Here is a 21,782-nt window from a genome sequence, read left to right on the forward strand (position 1 = left end):
TGTCCATCTCCGAGGGGCTTAGTCCCTTTTCTGCAGTTAGGGGAGTGGGGTGGCTCTCTCCCCTCTGCATAGCATCTTCTGGGTGCTATGAGGAACGCAGAGTGTTTGGACACAGTGCTTGTCTTCAAAGAGCTACAGGAGGAAGCTGAGTCATTACCCTGGGCAGGTAGATCCAGAGAGGGACACAGTATCAGTATAAATGCAGAGAGGGACACAGTATCAGTATAAATGTTCCAAGAATCGAGAGAAGGGAGAAGTCATGTAAACCCAGGAGTTCATCGTCAGACAGGAGTAGGGAGAAGCTTAAAATGGGAGCAAATGGATTTGGATTTGAAACCAACTCTGCCATTTGCCCCATGTGAGATTCTAGGCAAGGTCAATCCCTTAATCTCTCTGAGCCTCAGTTACTACATCTGTACAATGGAGGTGATAAGAACTACCACTCCAGGTTGTTGTGAGAACCAGAAATATGCTTGGCCGGATGCGGTGGCTCACACCTGTAATCCCAACACTTGGAGGCAGAGGCAGGCAGGTTGCTTGAGCCCAGGAGTTCGAGACCAGCTTGGGCAACACAGTGAGACCCCCGTCTCCACAAAAAGAAAGAAAGAAAAAGAAATATGCATGTTGGTGTCTGATATGTAAGTGTCTTGGCAAATGGTAGCAGTTATTGTAGTTTTTCAGAGCTGAGCTCTGAAAAAACGGGCTGCTTGGTGGCAGCCTGGTGGCGGGGAGGGCTGGGAGCCATCTTGGTGACAGGCTTTATTTGCAGTAAATTCTCAAACCCACTGAGAAAGAGCATAGTGGGGCGGGGGGTGGGGGAGGATGGGGAGCCAGAAAGAACCCGGAGAATGAAAACCCAGCCCCTTCCACCGATTCCCACCGCCGCCTTGTCCTTGTCCTCTGAGTGATGATGAGAACGCCTCGGTGGCCGCCCAGCTCACTTTCCCAGGACGTGTTTTAACCCAGCGTTAATTAGTGATTGTGGCTGCATCTAGGGCTGGGGGCTTGAGCTGAAGAAAGAAAGTACCCCAGAGAAAGGCAGACTTTAAAAGGCCCCAAAAGGCTGGGGCAGTGAGGCTCTGTGGAGAGGGAGACAAGCCGTGCATTTGTGTTGCAAATTTCCAGTGTGTGCAAGCCAGCCATTCAATGAGGGCGATGCTACTGGCAGCCGGCATGGGGGTGGGGAGGGAAAGGAAGTCCACAAAGGGGGCCTGTCTGAGGACCTCAGACCCTGCTTTGTAAAAGCTGCTTTCATCCCCCTCCCTGGTTGATGGCAGTGTTCCCAGTCCAAGGCCACTGTGCAAGGATCCAGAGGCCTGGACCCCAGACTCCCAGATTCTCTTGACCCTCCCCACTTGCCCTTCTAGGCCTGTTTTTGTGGCATCAGCAGCAGCAGGTGTCTGAGTGCTCCAGGGTACTGTGTCAGAGGAGACCAGGTTTAAGTGGTGTGGGCTTGCTAGGTGGCTTCAGGCAAAGTCACTTAACCTCCCTGAGTGTCAGTTTCCTCTTCTGTAAAATGGAGATGATGTGGTCCTTTCCCCTGCTTCACAGGGTCCTACCCAAACAGAAGGGCCTGTGATTGGATGGCAGCTCAGAGCTTCATTTCTTTCTCAAAAAGTCTGCATCTGGGAAAGTCATTAGAAGAGCTCTTTTAATGAAGAGATGAGGTTGATTGTACTTAGCAAATCAATGAAGCAACTCTGGGTTCCTTGGAAATGTTACTCCCACGAGTATTTTAATTTTTTTTTTCTTTTGAGATGGAGTTTAGCTCTTGTTGCCCAGGCTGGAGTGCAATGGCATGATCTCAGCTCACAGCAACCTCCACCTCCCGAGTTCAAGCGATTCTCCTGCCTCAGCCTCCCCAGTAGCTGGGATTGCAGGCGTGCACCACCATGCCAGACTAATTTTGTGTTTTTAGTAGAGATGGGATTTCACCATGTTGGCCAGGCTGGTCTCGAACTCCCAACCTCAGGTGATCCACCCACCTCAGCCTCCCAAAGTGCTGGGATTACAGGCGTGAGCCACCGCACCCGGCACTAATTTTTTTTTTTTTTAAGACAGTCTCGTTCTGTCACCCAGGCTGGAGTGCAGTGGCGCGATCTCTGCCCACTGTAACCTCCGCCTTCCAGGTTCAAGCAATTATCCTGCCTCAGCCTCCCAAGTAGCTGAGACTATGGGCACAAGCCACCATGCCCAGCTAATTTTTGTATTTTTAGTAGAGACAGGGTTTCACCATGTTGGCCAGGCTGGTCTTGAACTCCTGACCTCAAGTGATTTGCCTGCCTCGGCCTCCCAAAGCGCTGGGATTACAGGCGTGAGCCACTGCACCTGGCCCATGAGTATTTTAAACATTCACCTTGCTTGGAATCTTTGGGCCTGCCACAAGTCAATTAGGCACACTAACCAGGTTGTTTTTTGAGTTGGTAGACTTGGTGCAGGTGCCACGCCTGCTGCATAGGAGGCTGTCCCCAGCTGATCCTCGGGTAACCTTTCCCTGGTGAAGATATGACCATACTTCAAAAGCCCCCTTGGAGGCCATCTCTTCAAGAAGCATCCTCCCTCCCTGGCCTTGCCTGTGGTTGAGTGATTTTATAATTTTATATGCAGAAAATTGTCTCCTTTCCTGAGACCCTTGGGATGCCTGGGACCAAATCTTTGAGCCCTCTAAAGCTTTCTAATCAAAGTGTGGTCCATAGACCAGCAGTATTGACAGCACCTGGGGGCTTGTTAGGAATGCAGAATGTCAGGCTCCACTCTGGACCAATTGAATCAAAGGCTAAAATCTGTGAGGATTCTAAAGGCATTAGGCACCCTGGTGTCTAAATGCCCGGGATTCTGATCAGGTAGGAGGGCCATGGCCTCAGACAGCCGGGAGATGTCGCTGTTCCCCAGTCATTGGAGTTGTCAGGTTTTGCTACCAAATGCCAGAGGCCCCGCCTGTGGGGCTTTGTTCGCTGTGAAATCCCAGGACTACGAAAGGGTCAGGTCAAGTTTGTCATGCCACCTTTTCATCGGCCACTCAACCTGCGCCTCCTCCCATCTTTCCCTGACCGTTGCTGCCCTGGGTTCTCAGCTATGTTTCCAGATAGGGAAGACTGTGTGATCCCCAAGCCCAGCCCTGCCCCAAGCCCAGCCCTGCCCCAGGATCTCAGGAGAAAGCCCACAGGAGAAAGGGCATCTGGCCAGGCGCAATGGCTCATGCCTATAATACCAGCACTTTGGGAGGTTGAGGTGGGTGGATCACTTGAGGCCAGGAGTTCAAGACCGACCTCGGCGACATGGTGAAACCCCATCTCTACGAAAAATACAAAAATTAGCTGAGCTTGGTGGCATGCGCCTGTAATCCCAGCTACGTGGGAGGCTAAAGCAGAAGAATCACTTGAACTTGGGAGGCGGAGTTTGCAGTAAGCCGAGATCATGCCACTGCACTCCAGTTAGGACAACAGAGCAAGACTCTGTCTCAAAAAAAAAAAAAAAAGGAAGTGCATCCTACAGAGTCTCCCTCAGCCTGGCTCATCAGGCAAGAAGAGCTCAGACCAGCAAGGAGGGGGTGTCTACAGGGAGGACCGCCCTCGCTTGGAATCTCTGAGTTGGGGGATCTTAGTGACAACAGGACCTGCAGACACAGTGAGAAGAATTCCCATGATTTGAGTGTCCACAGGCAAAAGTCAAGGCCTGCTTGGGACTTCAGCTTCCAGTTTCTACTTCCCATGTCAGAGCCAGGTTATCTCACGGTCTTACTTCCCCTCTGTGGTTACAGTGCAGTTAAAGGAACCCTAATAGCCTCGACTGCAGCAAACTCAGGTTTGAGTCAGGGCCAAACGGCCCTCACTCCAGACTAGAAGCAGAGTCATTGGGGTTTCCCTCTAGGGTCTGGAGCTCCCACTCTCTGGGCCTTTCCCACCCTGCCTGGTTTAGTCCCTGAACACCCAGGCCACAGAGCAGAAGGAAGAGCAGCCTCCACACCCAGGCCCCCAGCTCCTGACTCCCCAGTGGCTGGGCCCTGTTGAAGCTGGAACCTCTTCTAAGGCCCAGAACCTGGAATCCATGGCTGAGTGAGACCTGGCTCCCTGCCTAGCTCCTGTCCCCCTGGGGTCAGCCCCAGTCACCACCACCCAATGACTCACGGAGTCTAGCTGTCCTGGATTTCCGCAGTCTAGCAGTAACATCTACATGCCAGTCACGTAACATACGTGATCTCATCTCATTCAACAACCTTGAGCCTTAGGAACACATAGTGCTCTCATTTCATGGTGGAAGAAGCTGAGTCTTGGAGATATTGGGTAACTCGTCCAATCTCATACAGACGGTACATGGAGAGGCCGGGGTTAGGAGTGGGGCTTGCCTGCCTCCAGACAAGCTCGCCTGCCCCGGAACAGTGCTATCCCTGACCCTGCCTCAGCAGCCCAGGGCTAATTTCTGCCAGCTTGATTTCCCATGGATTGGTATCAGCAGGGTCCATGTGGGTCCTGCGAGGTGGAGTGATAAAGGTGACAAGTGAGGACACTGCAATGGAAGATGGCACTGCACTTTACATTTGCACTTGTCATGGTGATAGTGACATTTCTGATTAACATCAGAACTTTGGTCTGCTGATTTCACCCGTGAACTTGGAGCCAGAAGTCCCAGGATCCATCTGATCTCTGACCCAATTGCCACGTCCTTCAGGTGAGAGATGGTCCCAGGCATGCACAAACATTCCAGGATATTAATTGATGATGAAAAGTCATCATTAATTTATTGGCATATTTTGTCTTTTATTCCTGCCTCCTTCCATCCTTTGATAATTTATCCATCAGATATCGATGTAATAATACCCATCAGGTGCTAAGTGCTGTGTTTGGTGTCCAGGAGCCAAGGAAGTGTAAAGCACAATTCAAATGAACTGATATTTATCAAGTGCCGCTATGTGCCATTCACCGAGTTGGGGGCTCCAGGCATTCTGTGGACTTGCTTTGGTGCAATTTTCATCCTAGCTAGACAAGTGGGCAAACAGATAATTACACAGTGTGATATACACAGTCTATAATCGAGGTGCATACAAGGAGCTGTGGGAGCAGAGTGGGTGTGGCCTTCACCCTGCTAAGGAGCAGGAAAGGCTTTGCCTAGGATGTAACTTTTTTTTGGGAGGGGGGCACAAGCTCTCACTCTGTCGCACAGACTGGAGTGCAGTGGCACGATCTTGGCTCACTGCAAGCTCCGCCTCCCGGGCTCAAGCGATTCTCCTGCCTCAGCCTCCGGAGTAGTGGATTACAGGTGCGCGTCACTACCGCCCGGCTAATTTTTGTATTTTTAGCAGAGATGGGGTTTCACCATGTTGGCCAGGCTGGTCTTGAATGCCTGACCTCAAATAATCCACCCCCCTCAGCCTCCCAAAGTGTTGGGATTACAGGTGTGAGCCACCTCGTCTGGCTCCTTTTTTTTGGAAACAAGGTCTCACTCTGTCACCCAGGCTGGAGTGCAGTGGCATGATCTGGGCTCACTGCAACCTCTGCCTCCTGGGCTTGGGTGATTCCCCCACCTCAGCCTCCTGAGTAGCTGGGGCTACAGGCACGTGCCACCATGCCAGGCTACTTTTGTATTTTTTGCAGAAACGGGGTTCCTCCATGTTGCCCAGGCTGGTCTAGAACCTGTGGGGTCAAGCAATCCACCTGCCTCAGCCACCCAAAGTGCCGGGATTATAGACGTGAGTCACTGTGCCCGGCCAGGATGTGACTTTTAAGCTGGATCTTGAAGAAAGAGGAAAAATTAATCCAGCCTGAGCAAAGGCTTGGAGGCCTGGTTAGTGAACAACAAATTATTTGGTGTGGCTGGAGTGAGGGTCCTCACATCTTTCTGGGCTTCGGACCTGGACCCCAGATTCAGTTGTCCAGGGTAGGGCCCAGGGTTCTGAATTTTTAACTAGGGCCTCAAGTGATTCTGGTACAGGTGCGAGGTCCCACAGACTGGGAAACTCGGGCCTGTGGCTTCAGCGGCAAGAAATGTGGATGAATCTGGAACAATGCATTAGGGCCAAGCTGTGCAGGGTGTTAAATGCCATGCTAAGGAATTTGGACCTGTCTTGTTCTCAATGGAGAGAGTCCATTGGAGGCTTTCAAGCCCTGGAGTGGTGGTTTTGGAAGGAAAATGTTGCCAGCAGCCTGGTGGGAGGAACAGAGACCCGAGAGGCTAGAGAGAAGAAGCCCAGTGAGGAAGCTTTCACAGCTGTCCAGGCCAGCCATCCTGGAGGCCTGAGCTGGGGGTTTGGGGGGGCGGTGGGCAAGGAGCATGGGAGTGGGGGCGCTGGATTTGAGAGGGCTCTGAAAAATGGGGCGCAGGCCTGCAGTAGATGGATGAGGAAGGTGAAGGAGAGGTTGTTGAGAATGGGCTGGGGGGCCTCAAGGGCTGATCAGGATGCACCAGGGCAGTGGGTTGAGGGGAGGAACAATAGAGCCAATTTGCATGAGTTGAGTTTTTCACTCATGTGACCTCCAGGAGGATGTGGGTAACAGGTATTGGATCTTGTCCGAAGCTTGGAGAAGGTGGTTGAAGTTGAGGGGAGAGCTTTTTTTTTTTTTTTTTTTTTTTTTTTTTTGAGAGGGAGTTTTGCTCTTGTTGCCCAGGCTGAAGTGCAATGGTGCAATCTTGGCTCACCGCAACCTCTGCCTCCTGGGATCAAGCGATTCTCCTGCCTCAGCCTCCCAAGTAGCTGGGATTACAGGCATGCGCCACCATACCTGGCTAATTTTGTATTTTTAGTAGAGACAGGGTTTCTCCATGTTGGTCAGACTGGTCTCAAACTCCCAACCTCAGGTGATCTGCCAGCCTCGGCCTCCCAGAATGCTGGGATTACAGGCATAAGCCACCACGTCTGGCTGAGACTTTGAAGAGCAAAGAGGTATTAGAAGACTGTAGACTGCTTACGAATCTTCAGGGCACGTGGAGGCAGAATTAGAAAAAGAGGCCAGGTGTGCTGGGCCACACCTGTAAGCCCAGCACTTTGGGTGGCCAAGGTGGGATTGCTTGAGGCCAGGAGTTTGAGACCAACCTGGGCAACAAAGCAAGACACCCACTCCCCATGTCAAAAGCAGAAGCGAAGAGAAGGGGAGGGGAGGGGAGAGGAGGGGAGGGGAGGGGAGGGAAAGGAGAAGGAAAGAGGCAAGAAGAACACACTAGAAAAGTAGCTGTTTGGTTGTTTTTTAATTTATTATCTCCACTTTGCAGATGGGGAAACTGGGACTCAGACAATTAAATAACTTGTCCATGGCCACTATGCTTAGCAGGGTAAGGCTGGAGTTTTGAACCTAAGTCTCTTTGGCTCCAGTGCCCATACTCTCTTGGCTGAGTCTCCCAAAGGCAAATCCTGTCCCCAGACACAAAATAAACAGATTCAAAGATTGGGGGTGAATGGGTGGAGGTGAGGAAGATGCAGCAAAAAGAACTTGCAGGAGGCCAGGCGCGGTGGCTCACGCCTGCAATCCCAGCACTTTGGGAGGCTGAGACAGGTGGATCTCCTGAGGTCAGGAGTTTGAGACCAGCCTGGCCAAAGTAGTGAAACCCCATCTCTACTAAAAATACAAAAATTACCCGGGTGTGGTGGCAGGCACCTATAATCCCAGGTACTCGGGAGGCTGAGGCCGGAGAATCACCTGAATCCGGGAGGCAGGTTGCAGTGAGCTGAGATCATGTCATTGCACTCCAGCCTGGGGGACAGAGCGATACTCCATCTAAAAAAACAAAAAAAGAATAACTTGCAGGACAGAGGCAGGGGAGACCAGCATATTAAGTGAGCCTATTTTTCATTCCTTCTCCCACTAGAATATATTGAAGAAAACCACAGACTTCATATTATTTCATCGATAAATATTTCAGTATGTATCTCAGAAAGATAAGGCTCTTTTTTAGACATAGTCACAATCCCATTATCACACTTTAAAAAAAAAATCTAACAATAATTCCTATTAAGGAAACCTATCGAGGACAATCTGACAAGACCTCAGAATGGAAGTGGGCTTGTATATCTTGAGCCAGCACTGTCACAAAGCCATGATAAGGAATTTAAATTTTCCCAAGATAATTACAGCCAAGGCGAACAGGGGGTTGGAAATGCAGGAGATTTGAGAAGCTTGTCTGGCTCTGGAAAGGAAATGTTATAAAGGAAGAAAAAAAAGACTGGAAAGGTTTACAGAGTACAAAAGACAAGACTCTTCTTTCTTTCTGACTTCCCCTTTCCTCATGCGAGGGTCTTTAGTCATAAATGAGAAATAGGAACCCGGGCTAGAGTGAAACCAAATGGATAAAAATAACACAACAAATACAGTATTGCTAAATGCAATGAGATAGAGGCATGGGGTTTATTTCCCACAAGGCTGTGCAAACTGCTCACTTCTTAGATAAAGGCTCTTCAGTTGCTGCTATTCAGAATCCCAGCTTCCTGAGAGGTCATGTCCATTGATTATTAACTGGTTATTGTGGACACTGACCTTCTACTAGGCATCAAGAAATCAGATTTCTAGACCAGGTGCAGTGGCTTACATCTGTAATCCCAGCACTTTGGGGGGCCGACGCAGGTGGATCACTTGAGGTCAGAAGTTTGAGACTCAGACTGGTGAAACCCCGTCTCTACTAAAAATACAAAAATTAGCCGGTGGCTCATGCCTTTAATCCCAGCACTTTGGGAGGCCGAGGCAGGCGGATCACCTGAGGTCAAGAGTTTGAGACCAGCCTGGCCAACATGGCGAAACCCCGTATCTACTACAAGTACAAAAATTAGCAGGGCGTGGTGGCGTGCGCCTGTAATCCCAGCTACTCAGGAGGCTGAGGCAGGAGAATAGCTTGAACCTGGGAGGTGGAGGCTGCAGTAAGCCGAGATCGTGCCACTGTACTCCAGCCTGGGTGACAAGAGCAAGACTCCATTTCAAAAGAAAAAAAAAATAAATTAGCCAGGTGTGGTCTCTACTAAAAATACAAAAATTAGCCAGGCATGTTGGCAAGCACTGTAATCCCAGCTACTTGGGGGACCAAGGCACGAGAATTGCTTGAGCCGTGGAGGTGGAGTTTGCATTGAGCTGAGATCGTGCCACTGCACTCCAGCCTGGGCAACAAAGTGAGACTTTTTCTTAAAAAAAAAAATATATATATTGGTCCAGCTCCTCCATGAAATTGCTCTGTGACCTTGGGCAAATTCCTTGACTTACCTGAGCTGTCTGTAAAGTGAGGGTATTAGACCATAAGACCTCATCATTTCCTTTAAGAGTCGAGTTCTCTGATTCAGTGAATACCTAGTGAAACAGTGCTTACTTCCTGGGGTTTAGAAAGCGTTACTAGGATTTGGCTCAATGTTACACTGCATCTGCAAAATGCTTGGATAGGCCGGGAGCGGTGGCTCGTGCCCTGCAATCCCAGCACTTTGGGAGGCCGAGGCGGGTGGATCACTTGAGATCAGGAGTTCAAGACCAACCTGGCCAACATGGCAAAACCTCGTCTCTACTAAAAATACAAAAATTAGCAGGGTGTGGTGGCGCGTGCCTGTAATCCCAGCTACTAGGGAGGCTGAGGCAGGAGAATCGCTTGAACCCAGGAGGCAGAGGTTGCAGTGAGCCGAGATCACACCACTACACTCCAGCCTGGGCAACAGGTGAGACTCTGTCTTAAAACAAACAAACAAAAAAAAGAATACTTGGCTAACCTCGGTGAAGGATGCCATGTGTTGATGATGCAGGTTCATGCTACAAAATCACCCAGCGTTGCTCTTGGCTGACGCCCCAGAGGAAATCTGAAACGCAGCACTACGTGAGCTCTCTGGAAATGGATGGTAGACGGAGAGCACGTGGAAACTGCACAGAGCCGTCCACAGATGGAGCCAGCTGCCTGAGGCTCAGGAAGCAAATTGAAGAAATAAGTTGAAACAACAGCCCAATGTGTTTTTTTTTGTTGTTTTGTTTCATTTTAATGGCAGGTAAAGGGGTTGACGGATGGGGACCAGGGATGTGGGGCTGAGATGGAGCTAAAGGGGAGGGGGCTGTGAAAGCCGGCAGGTCCAGTTGCCATATGTTGCTGGGATTCTGGGACCTTGACCTGGGGAACTGCATTTGAGCAGAGTCTGAAGAACTTGAGATTGGAGGGGAGCCAGAGGAAGTTGCAGAAGAACTTGAACCCGAAAGGGCAGAGGAAAAACAAAACAGACCCCATCCTGGGCCAGAAGAGAAGCCCTTTCCTGACACCTTGCCCTCTGTCCGGCTCATCATCACGTGAGGAAGGAGGGGCTGTGTGGCTCTTGGCTCCAGCTGCTCTGATTTCTTTTTTCAGTTCCTCCAAGGTGCTCTGTTCTTTCTTGCTGCATGGCCTCTGCTGTGTCCTCTCCCTGGAAGGCAGCTCTTTCCCCCGATCAACTTCCACTCAGACCTTAGCTTAAATGTGTTGCCTCCAGGAAGCCCTCCTTGGCCTTCTGATAAGACAAACCACTCCATTTTAAGTTCTTACGTCATTAGTCACTTTTAAAAAATAGTGCTCCTCACTGTTATCATTCTTAATGTATTTATGTGATTTTATCATTCTTTAATGTATTTAATGAATTTATGTGTATTATGTGATTTACATGTTTCTAAAAAAATGTCTAATTTTGAAACAACATTGAGCTTTTAGAAAAGTTGCAAGAATAATACAAAAACCTCTATAGGCCAGGTGCGGTGGCTCACGCCTGTAATCCCAGCACTTTGGGAAGCCCGGGTGGGTGGATCGCTTGAGCCCAGGAGTTCAAGACCAGCCTGGGCAACATAGCGAGACCTCATCTTTACAAAAAACAAAGCAAGCAAATTAGCTGGCTGTGATGGCACGAGCCTGTAGTCCCAGCTACTTGATGGTTAAGGTGGGAGGACTGCTTGACCTAGGAGTTCAAGGCTGCAGTGAGCTATGACTGCCGCAGCATTCCAGCCTGCACAACACAGCGAGACCCTGGTTCTAAAAAAATAATATTTCAAAAATTAAATAATTTAAATTAAATGAATTTTATTTATTTATTTATGGAGATACAGTCTCACTCCGACACCCAGGCTGGGGTGCAGTGGCACAATCTCGGCTTTGCAGCCTCAACTTCCAGGGTTCAGGTGCTTCTCCCACCTCAGTCTCCTGAGTGGCTGGAACTCCAGGCATGCACCACCATACCCGGTTAATTTTATATATATATATATATTTTTTTTTTTTTGAGATGGAGTCTCGCTCTGTTGCCCAGGCTGGAGTGCAGTGGCGTGATCTCGGCTGACTGCAAGCTCTGCCTCCCGTGTTCACTCCATTCTCCTGCCTCAGCCTCCTGAGTAGCTGGGACTACAAGCATCCGCCACCATGCCCGGCTAATTTTTTGTATTTTTAGTAGAGACGGGGTTTCACCGTTTTAGCCAGGATGGTCTCAATCTCCTGACCTCGTGATCCTCCCGCTTCGGCCTCCCAAAGTGCTGGGATTACAGACATGAGCCACCGCGCCTAGCAATTTTTTGCATATTTTTTGTAGAGAAGGAGTTTCACCATGTGGCCCAAGCTAGTCTCGAACTTCTGGGCTCCAGCAATCCACCTGCCTTGGCTTCCCAAAGTGCTGGGATTACAGGTGTGAGCAATCGTGCCTGGCTTAAATTATCTTTAACTTAATTAAATTAAATTTTATTTAATTTTTAAAATTAAATAAAAATAAAAAGAACTCCTGGCTGGGTGCGGTGGCTCACTCTTCTAAGCCCAGCACTTTGGGGGGCCAAGGTGGGTAGATCACTTGAGCCCAGGAGTTCAAGACCAGCCTGGCCAACATGGTAAAACCCCATCTCTACAAAAAAGTACAAAAAATTAACTAGGCATGGTGGTGCACACCTGTAGTCCCAGAGACTTGAGATGCTGAGGCGGGAGGGTCTCTTGAGCCCAGGAGGTGGAGGTTGCAGTGAGCCGAGATTGCACCACTGCACTCCAGCCTGGTCGACAGAGTGAAACTCTGTCTCAAAAAAAAAAAAAACACAAAAAATTGTAAAAACTCCCAGACTCAACAATTGTTAACATTTTGTCACATTTCCTTTGTGATTCTCTCTCCCTGTCTCTTTATATGTATACGTATAGATTATATGTAATCATACCTATATACATATAATATATGATTGTTTTTTCTGAACCTCTTAAGCATAATTTGCAGATATCTTGCCCCTTTACCCCTAAATAAGATCTTCACTTACACAGCCACAGTTGTATAAATGATCTGATTAATGGAATAACATCTGTTTTGACTTAAATGTAGGTTCCATGAGGGTGCGGCGGTATCTTGCTTTTTCACCCACGTATGTGTCACCTAGCATAGTGCCTGGTGCATAGCTGGGACTCGAAATATTTGTTGAACGTACAAGAATTCCTGAATTCCAAGGGCTTGCCATTAATATGGTGTTCTTGCCCCGCGGCCAGCTTTCTCACTCAGCCTGCTGCACGTGTTGGATGGGGCTGGGTGTTGAGACTTGTCCCGCCCATCTCTCGGTGGGGAATCAGGATCCCATCAAGGTAAATCAGTGCCTGAAGATGTGGCTTTGGCTTCTGTCATTTCTGTTAAATCCTCTCCAGCCAGCTCTGACCCTTGCCGAGCTACATTCCTTTTTTTTTTTTTTTTTTTTTTTTGAGATGGAGTTTCGCTCTTGTCCCCCAGGCTGGAGTACAGTGGCGTGATCTTGGGTCACTGCAACCTCTGCCTCCTGGGTTTAAGTGATTCTCCTGCCTCAGCCTCCTGAGTAGCTGGAATTACAGGCATGCACCACCACCCCCAGCTAATTTTTGCATTTTTAGTAGTGATAGGGTTTCATCGTGTTGGCCAGGCTGGTCAAGAACTCCTGACCTCAAGTGATCTGCCTGCCCCAGCCTCCCGAAGTGCTAGGATTACAGGCGTGAGCCACCGTGCCTGGCCCGGAACTACATCCTTGACTGGCAGCCACCTCTCCTCTGGCTCGGTGGCACCTGTTGGCCATCACACCCAGTTAACTGGCCCCATGAGAGAGTTCTGGCAAAGGCAGCTGAAAGGCTGGCCAATCTTCCCAGGCAGTTGCCTTTGTGAGGCACTGGCCTCAGCCTTGGAAACTGCCCTCTGTCCCCTTGGCCCACCAGGTGCTTTGGCCTACCTTACCGCCCACGTTGTGCTCTCCTGTTAGGATGTCGTAGCTCTTAGTTTACATAGGGGGCCAGTGGAGGGCATGATGTCCTCAGGGCAAGTAAGAGCTGGGGCCCACAGCCCACAGAATCCTGAGTTGGACAGGCTTTTAGAGATCAGATAGGACAGTGGTTTTCCAAATGTGGTCCCCAGTCAGCACCATCTGCACCTCCCGGGCACTTGGTAGACGTACCCCACCCCAGCTCTATTGAATCAGGAACTGATTAGGGTAGGGCACAACCATCTATGTTTTAATCAGCCCTTCAGGAGGTTCAGATGCGTGCTCAGGTTTGCAACCTTTTGCTTTAGGCCAACCCTGGCAGTTTTCAGGGCGGGGGTGGGGGGTTCACGCGGCTCCTGCCTCTCACATAGCACATTCTTTGCTCGCTGTTGCCCATCTGCAGCTACTGGCTTTTTAAAACAATGTTTTCAGAATAAAAAATAAGCTTATCACGGAGTTATTACATTACCATGGCAACCTGGCACCTGACTAGACAGAAGCAGGTAGCACAACTGCCTTGGGGTCTCAGTGGCACTAAAGTAATCGTGGATTTTTGCTCTGTGGGCTGTTCTGCGTATGAACAGCTTCTTTGTTTCTCTTGTCTTTTCCCCCTTTTTTCTCCTGTTTTCGGTTTGGACCCTTATTCCTCTCTCACCTCATTAGGAGCAAAGAATAATTGTTTTAGATTTTCCAAGAGGCTGCCACATCTGACCTCTCCTTTGAAACTAACAATAACCCCAAGAGGTAGCTGATATGAGCAGGGCTATTTTGCTGCGTTTTTTTTGTTCATTTGTTTGTTTGTTTTTAGATGGAATTTTGTTCTTGTTGCCCAGGCTGGACTGCAATGGCGCCGTCTCGGCTCACTGCAACCTCCGCTTCCCGGGTTCAAGCGCTTCTCCTGCCTCAGCCTCTCGAGTAGCTGGGATTACAGGCATGCGCCACCATGCCCAGCTAATTTTGCGTTTTTAGAAGAGTCTCACCATGTTGGTCAGGCTAGTCTCGAACTCCTGACCTCAGGTGATCCACCCTCTTTGGCATCCCAAAGTGCTGGGATTACAGGTGTGAGCCACCTCGCCAGGACCTGACTGCATTTTTATCATCATCGAAGTGTTGTATTAAAATTTTCTTGAATTGATTGTTTTGAGAAGGAACACGCACAGAAGGCAAAATTCAAAAGGTACAAAATGGTGCATGTTCAGAGTGAGTCTCTGAATGACTCTGTGTCCAGGTCTCCTCCCTGGGCCGGGGTGGGGGGCGGGGTCCCGTGATCTGTTTCTTGTGCTTCCTTACCGACTTGCTGAGACAGCCTACACATATAAAAGGTTTTTTTTTAAACCTTTCACCTTTGTTATTTACACATATGGCAGGTTCCATCCCCACTGCTCAGTACCTTGCTTCCTTCACGCAGTCTGTCTTAGGGATCCTTCTCCAGCGTTTAGAGTTGCCTTATGCTTTTTATTTTTTAATTTAATTTTTTAAAAATTTGAGACAGACTCTCACTCTGTTGTCCAGGCTGGAGTGCAGTGGTGTGATCTTGGCTCACAGCAAACTCTGCCTCCTAGGTTCAAGTGATTCTCATGCCTCAGCCTCCTGAGTAGCTGGGATCACAGGTGAGCACTAATTTTGTATTTTTAGTAGAGATGGGGTTTCACCATGTTGGCCAGGCTGGTCTCGAACTCCCAACATCAAGTGATCTGCTCACCTTGGGCAGATCCCAAAGTGTTGGGATTATAGGCGTGAGCCACCACACCCAGCCGCCTTATGGTTTTTAAGAGTCTGTTCCATAGTGTAGATGTATCACCATTTAAGCAGTCCCCTGTTGATAAATATTTGGGTTGCTCCTAGTCTTCTGCTATTTTCATCCTCATTTAACAGCTAGAAAAGTTGTGATTCAGAGAGGGACATGACCTGTGAAAGTTCCCAAAGCAAACGTTGGCATCTTCAGGCATTGCTTAGCTACAGAATATAAGAAAAAAGGAAGAGATGACTGACCCCTGAATTAGAGAAAACACAGAGCCATCCAGCGACCTGATTTCCTCTTCTGCCACACTAGTGTCTTAACTAGTTCAGTTAAATTCTTCTAACGTTGCCTGATATGGAATTAAATAATCATTTATGGAAGTATTTTAAATCTGTCTTCCTTGCTAGACAGTAACCTTTGTTAGGGCAGGGACTATGTTTTCCTCACTCCTTCATCCCTAGCAAGGACTATACTCCTAGAAAGTACTAAGTATATAGCAGGTGCTCAATAAATACCTGTTAAATGAATGAATGAATGGATCAGGATTGTGCGTGGTTAAGACAGTGGGCTTAGAGATCTTGCTTTGAATCCTGGGTTTAACAGTTATTACTATGTAATCCTAGACCCATCATTCAGCTTCTCAATACCTCCATTTCCTTAGGTGTGACATGGAAACGCTCCCTTGGGATTGCTGGATCAGGTGAGCAAACGCAGGTCAGGTATCCATCACAGGGTCTGTGTGCAGTGAGGCCTCAGCCATTTTTCCTAAGCCAGAGCTTCTTCCAACATCATATGCTGCCTGGAAATTCTGATGAAGGAACCGAAGAATCTTCAAGGCGGAGGTAATTTGAGCTGGGCCCTGAAGGAGGAGTAAGATTCCAGCTTATGTGGCCAGGGCCAGATTTCTTTCCTGAGTTCATCCAACTACAAAATGGAGATGATGACACCCAGTTTCTGTCTCCCTCTGGGAGCGCTGGTCTGGCTTAAAGTCTCTCAAGAGGAAAAACATCATACAATTAAAAGGCACCATCGTTATTCAACTGGAAAAGTGCCTTCCCGGGACAAGTGATTCTGCTTGTGCTGTGTATGATTGGATATTTAGTGTGAATTTAACCCAGGGTGTCAACTGTGCTGTCAGTTAGAGCTAAGTGTAATGGGGCACTTAGTAAATGTGGAGGTAATTAAAGCCATCCAGATGCTGGATGTGGGTGAGCTTTGTGCTGCCTCTGGGACTGAAATGCTTTAGAGAGATGAAGTTCTGGAGTCTCTTTTTGGGGTGCACTGGGAGTGTAAGTCCCGGCGTTGGCCTTTGCTGCTGCTGTACCCTTCTGCTGGAGACTGAAAGCCACCTATTCTGGGAAGCCTTCCCTGATCACCAAGACAGAATCTGATGTTCTGGGTTTTCCTGGCACCGCACACACTTCTCACAATATCCTATTATCTTAGTTTGTTTCTATGCCCATCTCCCCCAACTGGAGTCCAAGATATTGTCCCTAGGATTTTTCTGACATACAGTTAGTGCTCAATAAGTGTCTGCTGAATGAAGCTTTTCAGGTTTCACAACCATGGGAAATCTTGGGTCTCAAGAACAGATCAAGGTGTTTGATTTTCCTGGGAAGGGTAGACCCTGTGTAGTTCTGGCAAGTGATCCCTCTTCTGATGGAAATTCTGTTTGATGCCCTCCCTAGTGAGGCCAGGGTGGCAACGTGAGCCTATCCTCCTTTGCAGCAGACCTGAGCCCTGTAGATTTACAGATATCTGAGTGTGGAATCCAGCCCTGAGTCCACACCTTGTAGAAAGCAGGAGGAGAGCAGGCCTTGAACAACTGAAGTTGCTTATCTGCTATGAGCCTCCTGGAGGCCCAAATAAAGAATCCAGAATGTGGCGAGTCTCCACTGCTGCCTGGGCCCTGTTGCCTCTAAGATGAACTTATCGCTGACCTTTCTGGCACATGGAGAATGTCCCCACTGCCCGGAGAAGAGAGGCCTCTCCTTGTGGTCCTGCATTCTGGACTCAGTGGGATCCACCGCACTCAGCATTCTTGGCTTCATGCTGGAGCTGAGCGTAAGGTGAGAAGGAGTTGCTGGGAACACTGTGATACCTGGCTCAGGCAGGAACCACCCAAGTCAGGCATGATCAGATCTTGGACTGACAGCCACCTGCTCTGAACAAGGCCCTGGACTCTGGACTTACCACTGTCTCTGACCAACCCTTCCAGCTGGCCTTTCTACCTCCAGATTCGGAGTCTGGAGTCAGGCTTCTGGCTGGTCATGGTTAGGTCCAGTGTCCATGCTCCAGCAGGAATTGAGGGGAGCGTGTCCCTCCCATTCGTCTGCCATTATCTCCCTGCTTCTTGGGATTCCCACAAATGGGGTCTCAGATGCTGGGCAGCCCAAGTGACAAATACTAGCTGGGTTCCCATTCTATGAACTTGATATTCTCTCTCGGAGGGCTCCATCTCCTGGGCCCATCTCTGCCCCATGTGGTGTCTGCTGAGGTGCCTGGGTCTAGAGAATCCACTTCCAAGATAGTTTCTTTGTTCAAAAAATGTTTTTTTTTATTTTTTTATTTTTATTTGAGATGGAGTCTTGCTCTGTCACCCAGGCTGGAGTGCAGTGGCGCAATATTGGTTTACTGCAAACTCCGACTCCCTAGTTCAAACAGTTCTCCTGTTTCAGCCTCCTGAGTAGCTGGGATTACAGGCACATGCCACCATACCCAGCTAATTTTTGTATTTTAGTAGAGACGGGGTTTCACCATGTTGGCCAGGCTGGTCTTGAACTCCTGACCTTGTGATCTGCCTGCCTTGGCTTTCCAAAGTGCTGGGATTACAGGCGTGAGCCACTGTGCCTGGCCCAAAATTTTAAAACGAAAAATTAAAACATACAAAAAAGCCAAAAGAATTGTTCAAAAAATGCTATACCCATCATCTATTAGGTTGGAACAAAAGTAATTGCGGTTTTTGCCATTCCTTAACCTAACAGATTCTATGCTTAACTTTCATTCTGCCACATTTACTTTAACACACATGCATCCATCTCTCCACCGCTCTGAGGTAGCTTCTTCACTCTTGGGTCTGATGCCTGATGCTCCCTGCACTCTTTCTCCCTATGTGGCCTGAGCTTCTCACAGCTCGGTGGTCTCGGGATAGTTGTTCTTTCTGCATGGTGGCTGATTTCCAGGCCAGTTCAACACCATGCTTGAAACTGACACAGCATCTCTTCCACAATTGTCTATTGCTCAAAGCAGTCACTGGGTAGAAGAGCATGTGGGATGGGGAATACCAGCCACTTAGGATAAACAGTCAGCTGCAAAGGGTGGTCAGTGGAGCCTTGAAAAGGTGATATTGGGGCTCGGTGCGGTGGCTTATGCCTGTAATTCCAGAACTTTGCGAGGCCAAGGCAGGTGGATCGCTTGAGCTCAGGAGTTAGAGACCAGCCTAGCTAACGTGACAAAACCCCATCTCTACCAAAAATATGAAAATTAGCTGGGTGTGGTGGCACATGCCTGTGGTGCCAGCTACTCAGGAGGCTGAGGTGGAAGGATTGCTTGAGCTGGGGAGGTGAAGGTTGCAGTGAGCTGAGATCATGCCACTGCACTCCAGCCTGGGAGACAGAATGAGACCTTGTCTCAAAAAAAACCAAAAACCAAAAAACAAAAACAAAAAAAAAAAAAAAAGAGAGAAAGAAAGAAAGAAGGAAGGGAGGGAGGGAGGGAGGCAGGATGGGTGGTATTGGGGCTGAGCCCTATGGAAAGAGAATGAACCTGTCTTGTGGAGAGCCAGAAGACAGCATTCTAGACAGAGAGACCGACAAAGGCAATGGTTTGAAGGTGGAAAAGCAAATGTCGTACCTCTACTTTCCCTTTTCCACATCCAAATCCAGCCCATCATTCGGGACCCACATTGAGCTGCCTCCCTCACGAGGCCTTCCTAGATACTTCGGCGCGTGCTGATCCTGCCCCTCTTCCTAGAGCTTTCATGTGTGTACACTCATCTGACATGCACAGGTCAGCTGGGTAGTGCAAAGGTTATGCATGCAGACTCTGCGAGGCCTTAGGGAAGCTGCTTAACTTTTCCAGCCTTAGGTTTCTTCACCTGTAATGCCTACTTTATAGGGTGCTGGGGGAGAATATTGATACGTGTAAAGTGCTTGGCACCTTTACACATATGAATATGCAATAAACAGCAGCTACAATTAATACAAAACTGGCTCACTCAGTCAAGTGTGACTCCAAGAAAATATTTTTCAGAGAAGAGGCTACGGCTTTTTTGGCTTTTTCTTCTTCATTGTGCAATCACTGTGCCTTGCATAGATATTAGGCATAGAAATAAGCCTGCCACAAAGCTCTCCTCCGTGCTGTGGTGCTCATGGAGCCATGCAGGGCACAGAGACAGCAAAACTCAGCTGGAGGCCTCTAAGAGCTTCTAGAGAGTGAGCAAGTAGCTGTGCCTGTCATTGTGCCTGCAGCAGTCACTTGGGCGATCTTTTACATTTGGATACAGAGAGTAACAGGTTTCAAAGCACCTGCACACCTGGATTAGTATGCTGGGGCTGCTCTAACAAAGGACCACAAACTGAATGGTTTAAACAACAGATATTTACTTTTTCCCAGTTCTAGGGACTAGGAATCTGAAATCAAAGCGTCAGTGGCACCTTCTGAGGGCTGTGAGGAGCCTGTCCCATGCCTCTTGACTAGCTTCTGGTGGCCTGCTGGCAATCTGTGGTGTTCCTTGGCTGTAGAGGCATCGTCCCGATATCTGCCTTCATCTTCACATGACGTTCTCTCTATGTGTGCATCTGTGTCCATGTTCCCCCTCATTTAAAATAAACTATTTCCTTTTTTAGAGACAGGGTCTTGCTCTACCACCCAGGCTGGAGTGCAGAGGTGCGATCATAACTCACTTCAGCCTCCAACTCCTGAGCTCAAGCGATCCTCTCATCTCAGCCTCCTAAAGTGCTGGGACTACAGGCAAGAGCCATCGCGCCCTGTCAAAATTTCCCCTTTTTATAAGTACAGCAGTCATACTGGATTAGGGACTACCCTAACACTCTCATTTTAACTTGATTACCTTTGTAAAGCTCCTATCTCCAAATAAGATCCCATTGTGAGGTACTGGGGGTTACGGCTCAAACACAGCTTTTTGGAGGGACACAATTCAACCCAGAAAACACTCTCCTCACTCACACCCTGCAGTGTGTCTCTCCAGGGCAAGTAGTAAGTCCTGTCCTAAACATCTGCACCCTGCAGGCCTCAGTGTCACCCCCTCAGCTATTCTTAGGCTCCAAGCCGTTTCTCACTACCCAGCCTTTCCACCACCCATCGTGCTTTTTCCTCCTTCTCTTTGCCTGGCAAAGTCCTCCTCATTCTTCATTTCTTTTTTTGAGATGGAGTATTGCTTTGTTGCCCAGGCTGGAATGCAGTGGTGCGACCTCGGCTCACTGCAACCTCTGCCTCCTAGGTTCAAGCAATTGTCCTGCCTCAGCCTCTCAAGTAGCTGAGACTACAGGTGCACACCACCATGCCTGGCTAATTTTTTGGGTATTTTTTGTAGAGACGGGGTTTCGCCATGTTGCCCAGGCTGATCTCAAACTCCTGGGCTCAAGCAATCTGTCCACCTTAGCTTCCCAAAGTGCTGGGATTATAGACGTGAGCCACCACTCTTCATTTCTTACCAGAAATGTGATCTCATGGACGTCTTCCCTCATCACCTCTCTTTTGATTGTATCTCCCATGTTATTGCTTCTCTCATGGCTCCCCCTTCTTCCTTCCCAACACATCTCATGGTTTTTAAGTGTACATTTATCTGTGTGATTGATTAGTGGGGGTGACAGACATTGACCCCTAGTCTATAAGCACAGTCAGGGTAGGATCCCACCTACTCACCATTGTCTTCCCAGTTTCATAGTGCATGATCCAGAGTAGAAACTCCATAAATATTTTTTAAATGAATAAATTATGCATTTTGGGTCCCCCATGCCACCTCACATAGTATGGGATTAGTGAATGTTGAGTGTATTATTTGTCTTCTAAGAGACTGAATTCCTTTAGGGCAAGATAGGTCTCTCTCTCTCTCTTTTTTTTTTTTGGAGTCTCTGGTATCTAACCTCTGTTCCTTGATCCTCTATGTATGTTATCTAGGCTGCATAACCAATTATCCTAAAACTTAGGAGCTTAAAACAATAACATTTAGTATTTCACAATTTCTGTGAGGCAGGCATTCAAGTGGCATTGCAAGGTATTTCTGGCTCAAGGTTGCTCTTGAGTTTACACTGAAGATTTTGGCCAGGCCACAGTCATTTGAAAGCTTGACTAGGACTGCTGGAGCCACTTGGCTCATACACATGGCTGGCAAGTTGGAGCTGGTTGTTGGCAGGCAGCTCAGTTACTCCCCATGCGAGCCTCTCCATAGGACTGCTTGAGTGTCTTCACAACATGGATTCCCCATGAGCAATCAAGACAGAGGAAAGAGGAAGTTGCAATGTCTTTTATGACTTTATCTTGGAACTCGTGCTCCAAGATTTCCGCAATATCCTATGGGTTATACAGGTCAGTCTTATTCTTGGTGGGAGGTGACTACAGAGGGGTATGGATATCAGGAGCCAAGAATCGTCAGGGTTTATGGTGGAGGCTGGTTATCACACTCTCATCTAGGTTTCTTTTTCTCCTACTACTTGCCCCCCACCCCTTCTTAATCATGGAACACTGTTCTTTGCCTTCAAAAAACTTATCCTGTTATATGATTACACATTCATTTAATTAGTCTGTCTCCCTCCAACGGACTGTAAGCACCACAAGGGCAGAGACTGTATGTGTCTGCTTTAGCACTGTGTCCTCAGTTACAAGGACAAAGCATAGAGTACGCGCTCAGTGAATGCTTTTTGAATGAATTATAATGATTT

At 48.4% G+C, this 21,782-nt stretch overlaps 4 annotated features.

The window, feature by feature from the left end:
* Positions 896-1,442: an enhancer, noted in NCBI's record as "H3K27ac-H3K4me1 hESC enhancer chr20:35896280-35896826 (GRCh37/hg19 assembly coordinates)". NCBI's record gives its function as "activates a minimal SCP1, AML or CMV promoter by ChIP-STARR-seq in naive and primed H9 embryonic stem cells {active_cell/tissue: H9 hESC(naive and primed)}" and the evidence as "EXISTENCE:reporter gene assay evidence [ECO:0000049][PMID:30033119]".
* Positions 1,443-1,990: an enhancer, noted in NCBI's record as "H3K27ac-H3K4me1 hESC enhancer chr20:35896827-35897374 (GRCh37/hg19 assembly coordinates)". NCBI's record gives its function as "activates a minimal SCP1, AML or CMV promoter by ChIP-STARR-seq in naive and primed H9 embryonic stem cells {active_cell/tissue: H9 hESC(naive and primed)}" and the evidence as "EXISTENCE:reporter gene assay evidence [ECO:0000049][PMID:30033119]".
* Positions 3,504-3,573: an enhancer, noted in NCBI's record as "active region_17832". NCBI's record gives its function as "activates an Ori minimal core promoter by ATAC-STARR-seq in GM12878 lymphoblastoid cells {active_cell/tissue: GM12878}" and the evidence as "EXISTENCE:reporter gene assay evidence [ECO:0000049][PMID:35858748]".
* Positions 10,383-10,432: a silencer, noted in NCBI's record as "silent region_12888". NCBI's record gives its function as "represses an Ori minimal core promoter by ATAC-STARR-seq in GM12878 lymphoblastoid cells {active_cell/tissue: GM12878}" and the evidence as "EXISTENCE:reporter gene assay evidence [ECO:0000049][PMID:35858748]".

This window comes from Homo sapiens, chromosome 20, assembly GCF_000001405.40.
Source record: "Homo sapiens chromosome 20, GRCh38.p14 Primary Assembly".
NCBI classification, from domain to species: Eukaryota; Metazoa; Chordata; class Mammalia; order Primates; family Hominidae; genus Homo; species Homo sapiens.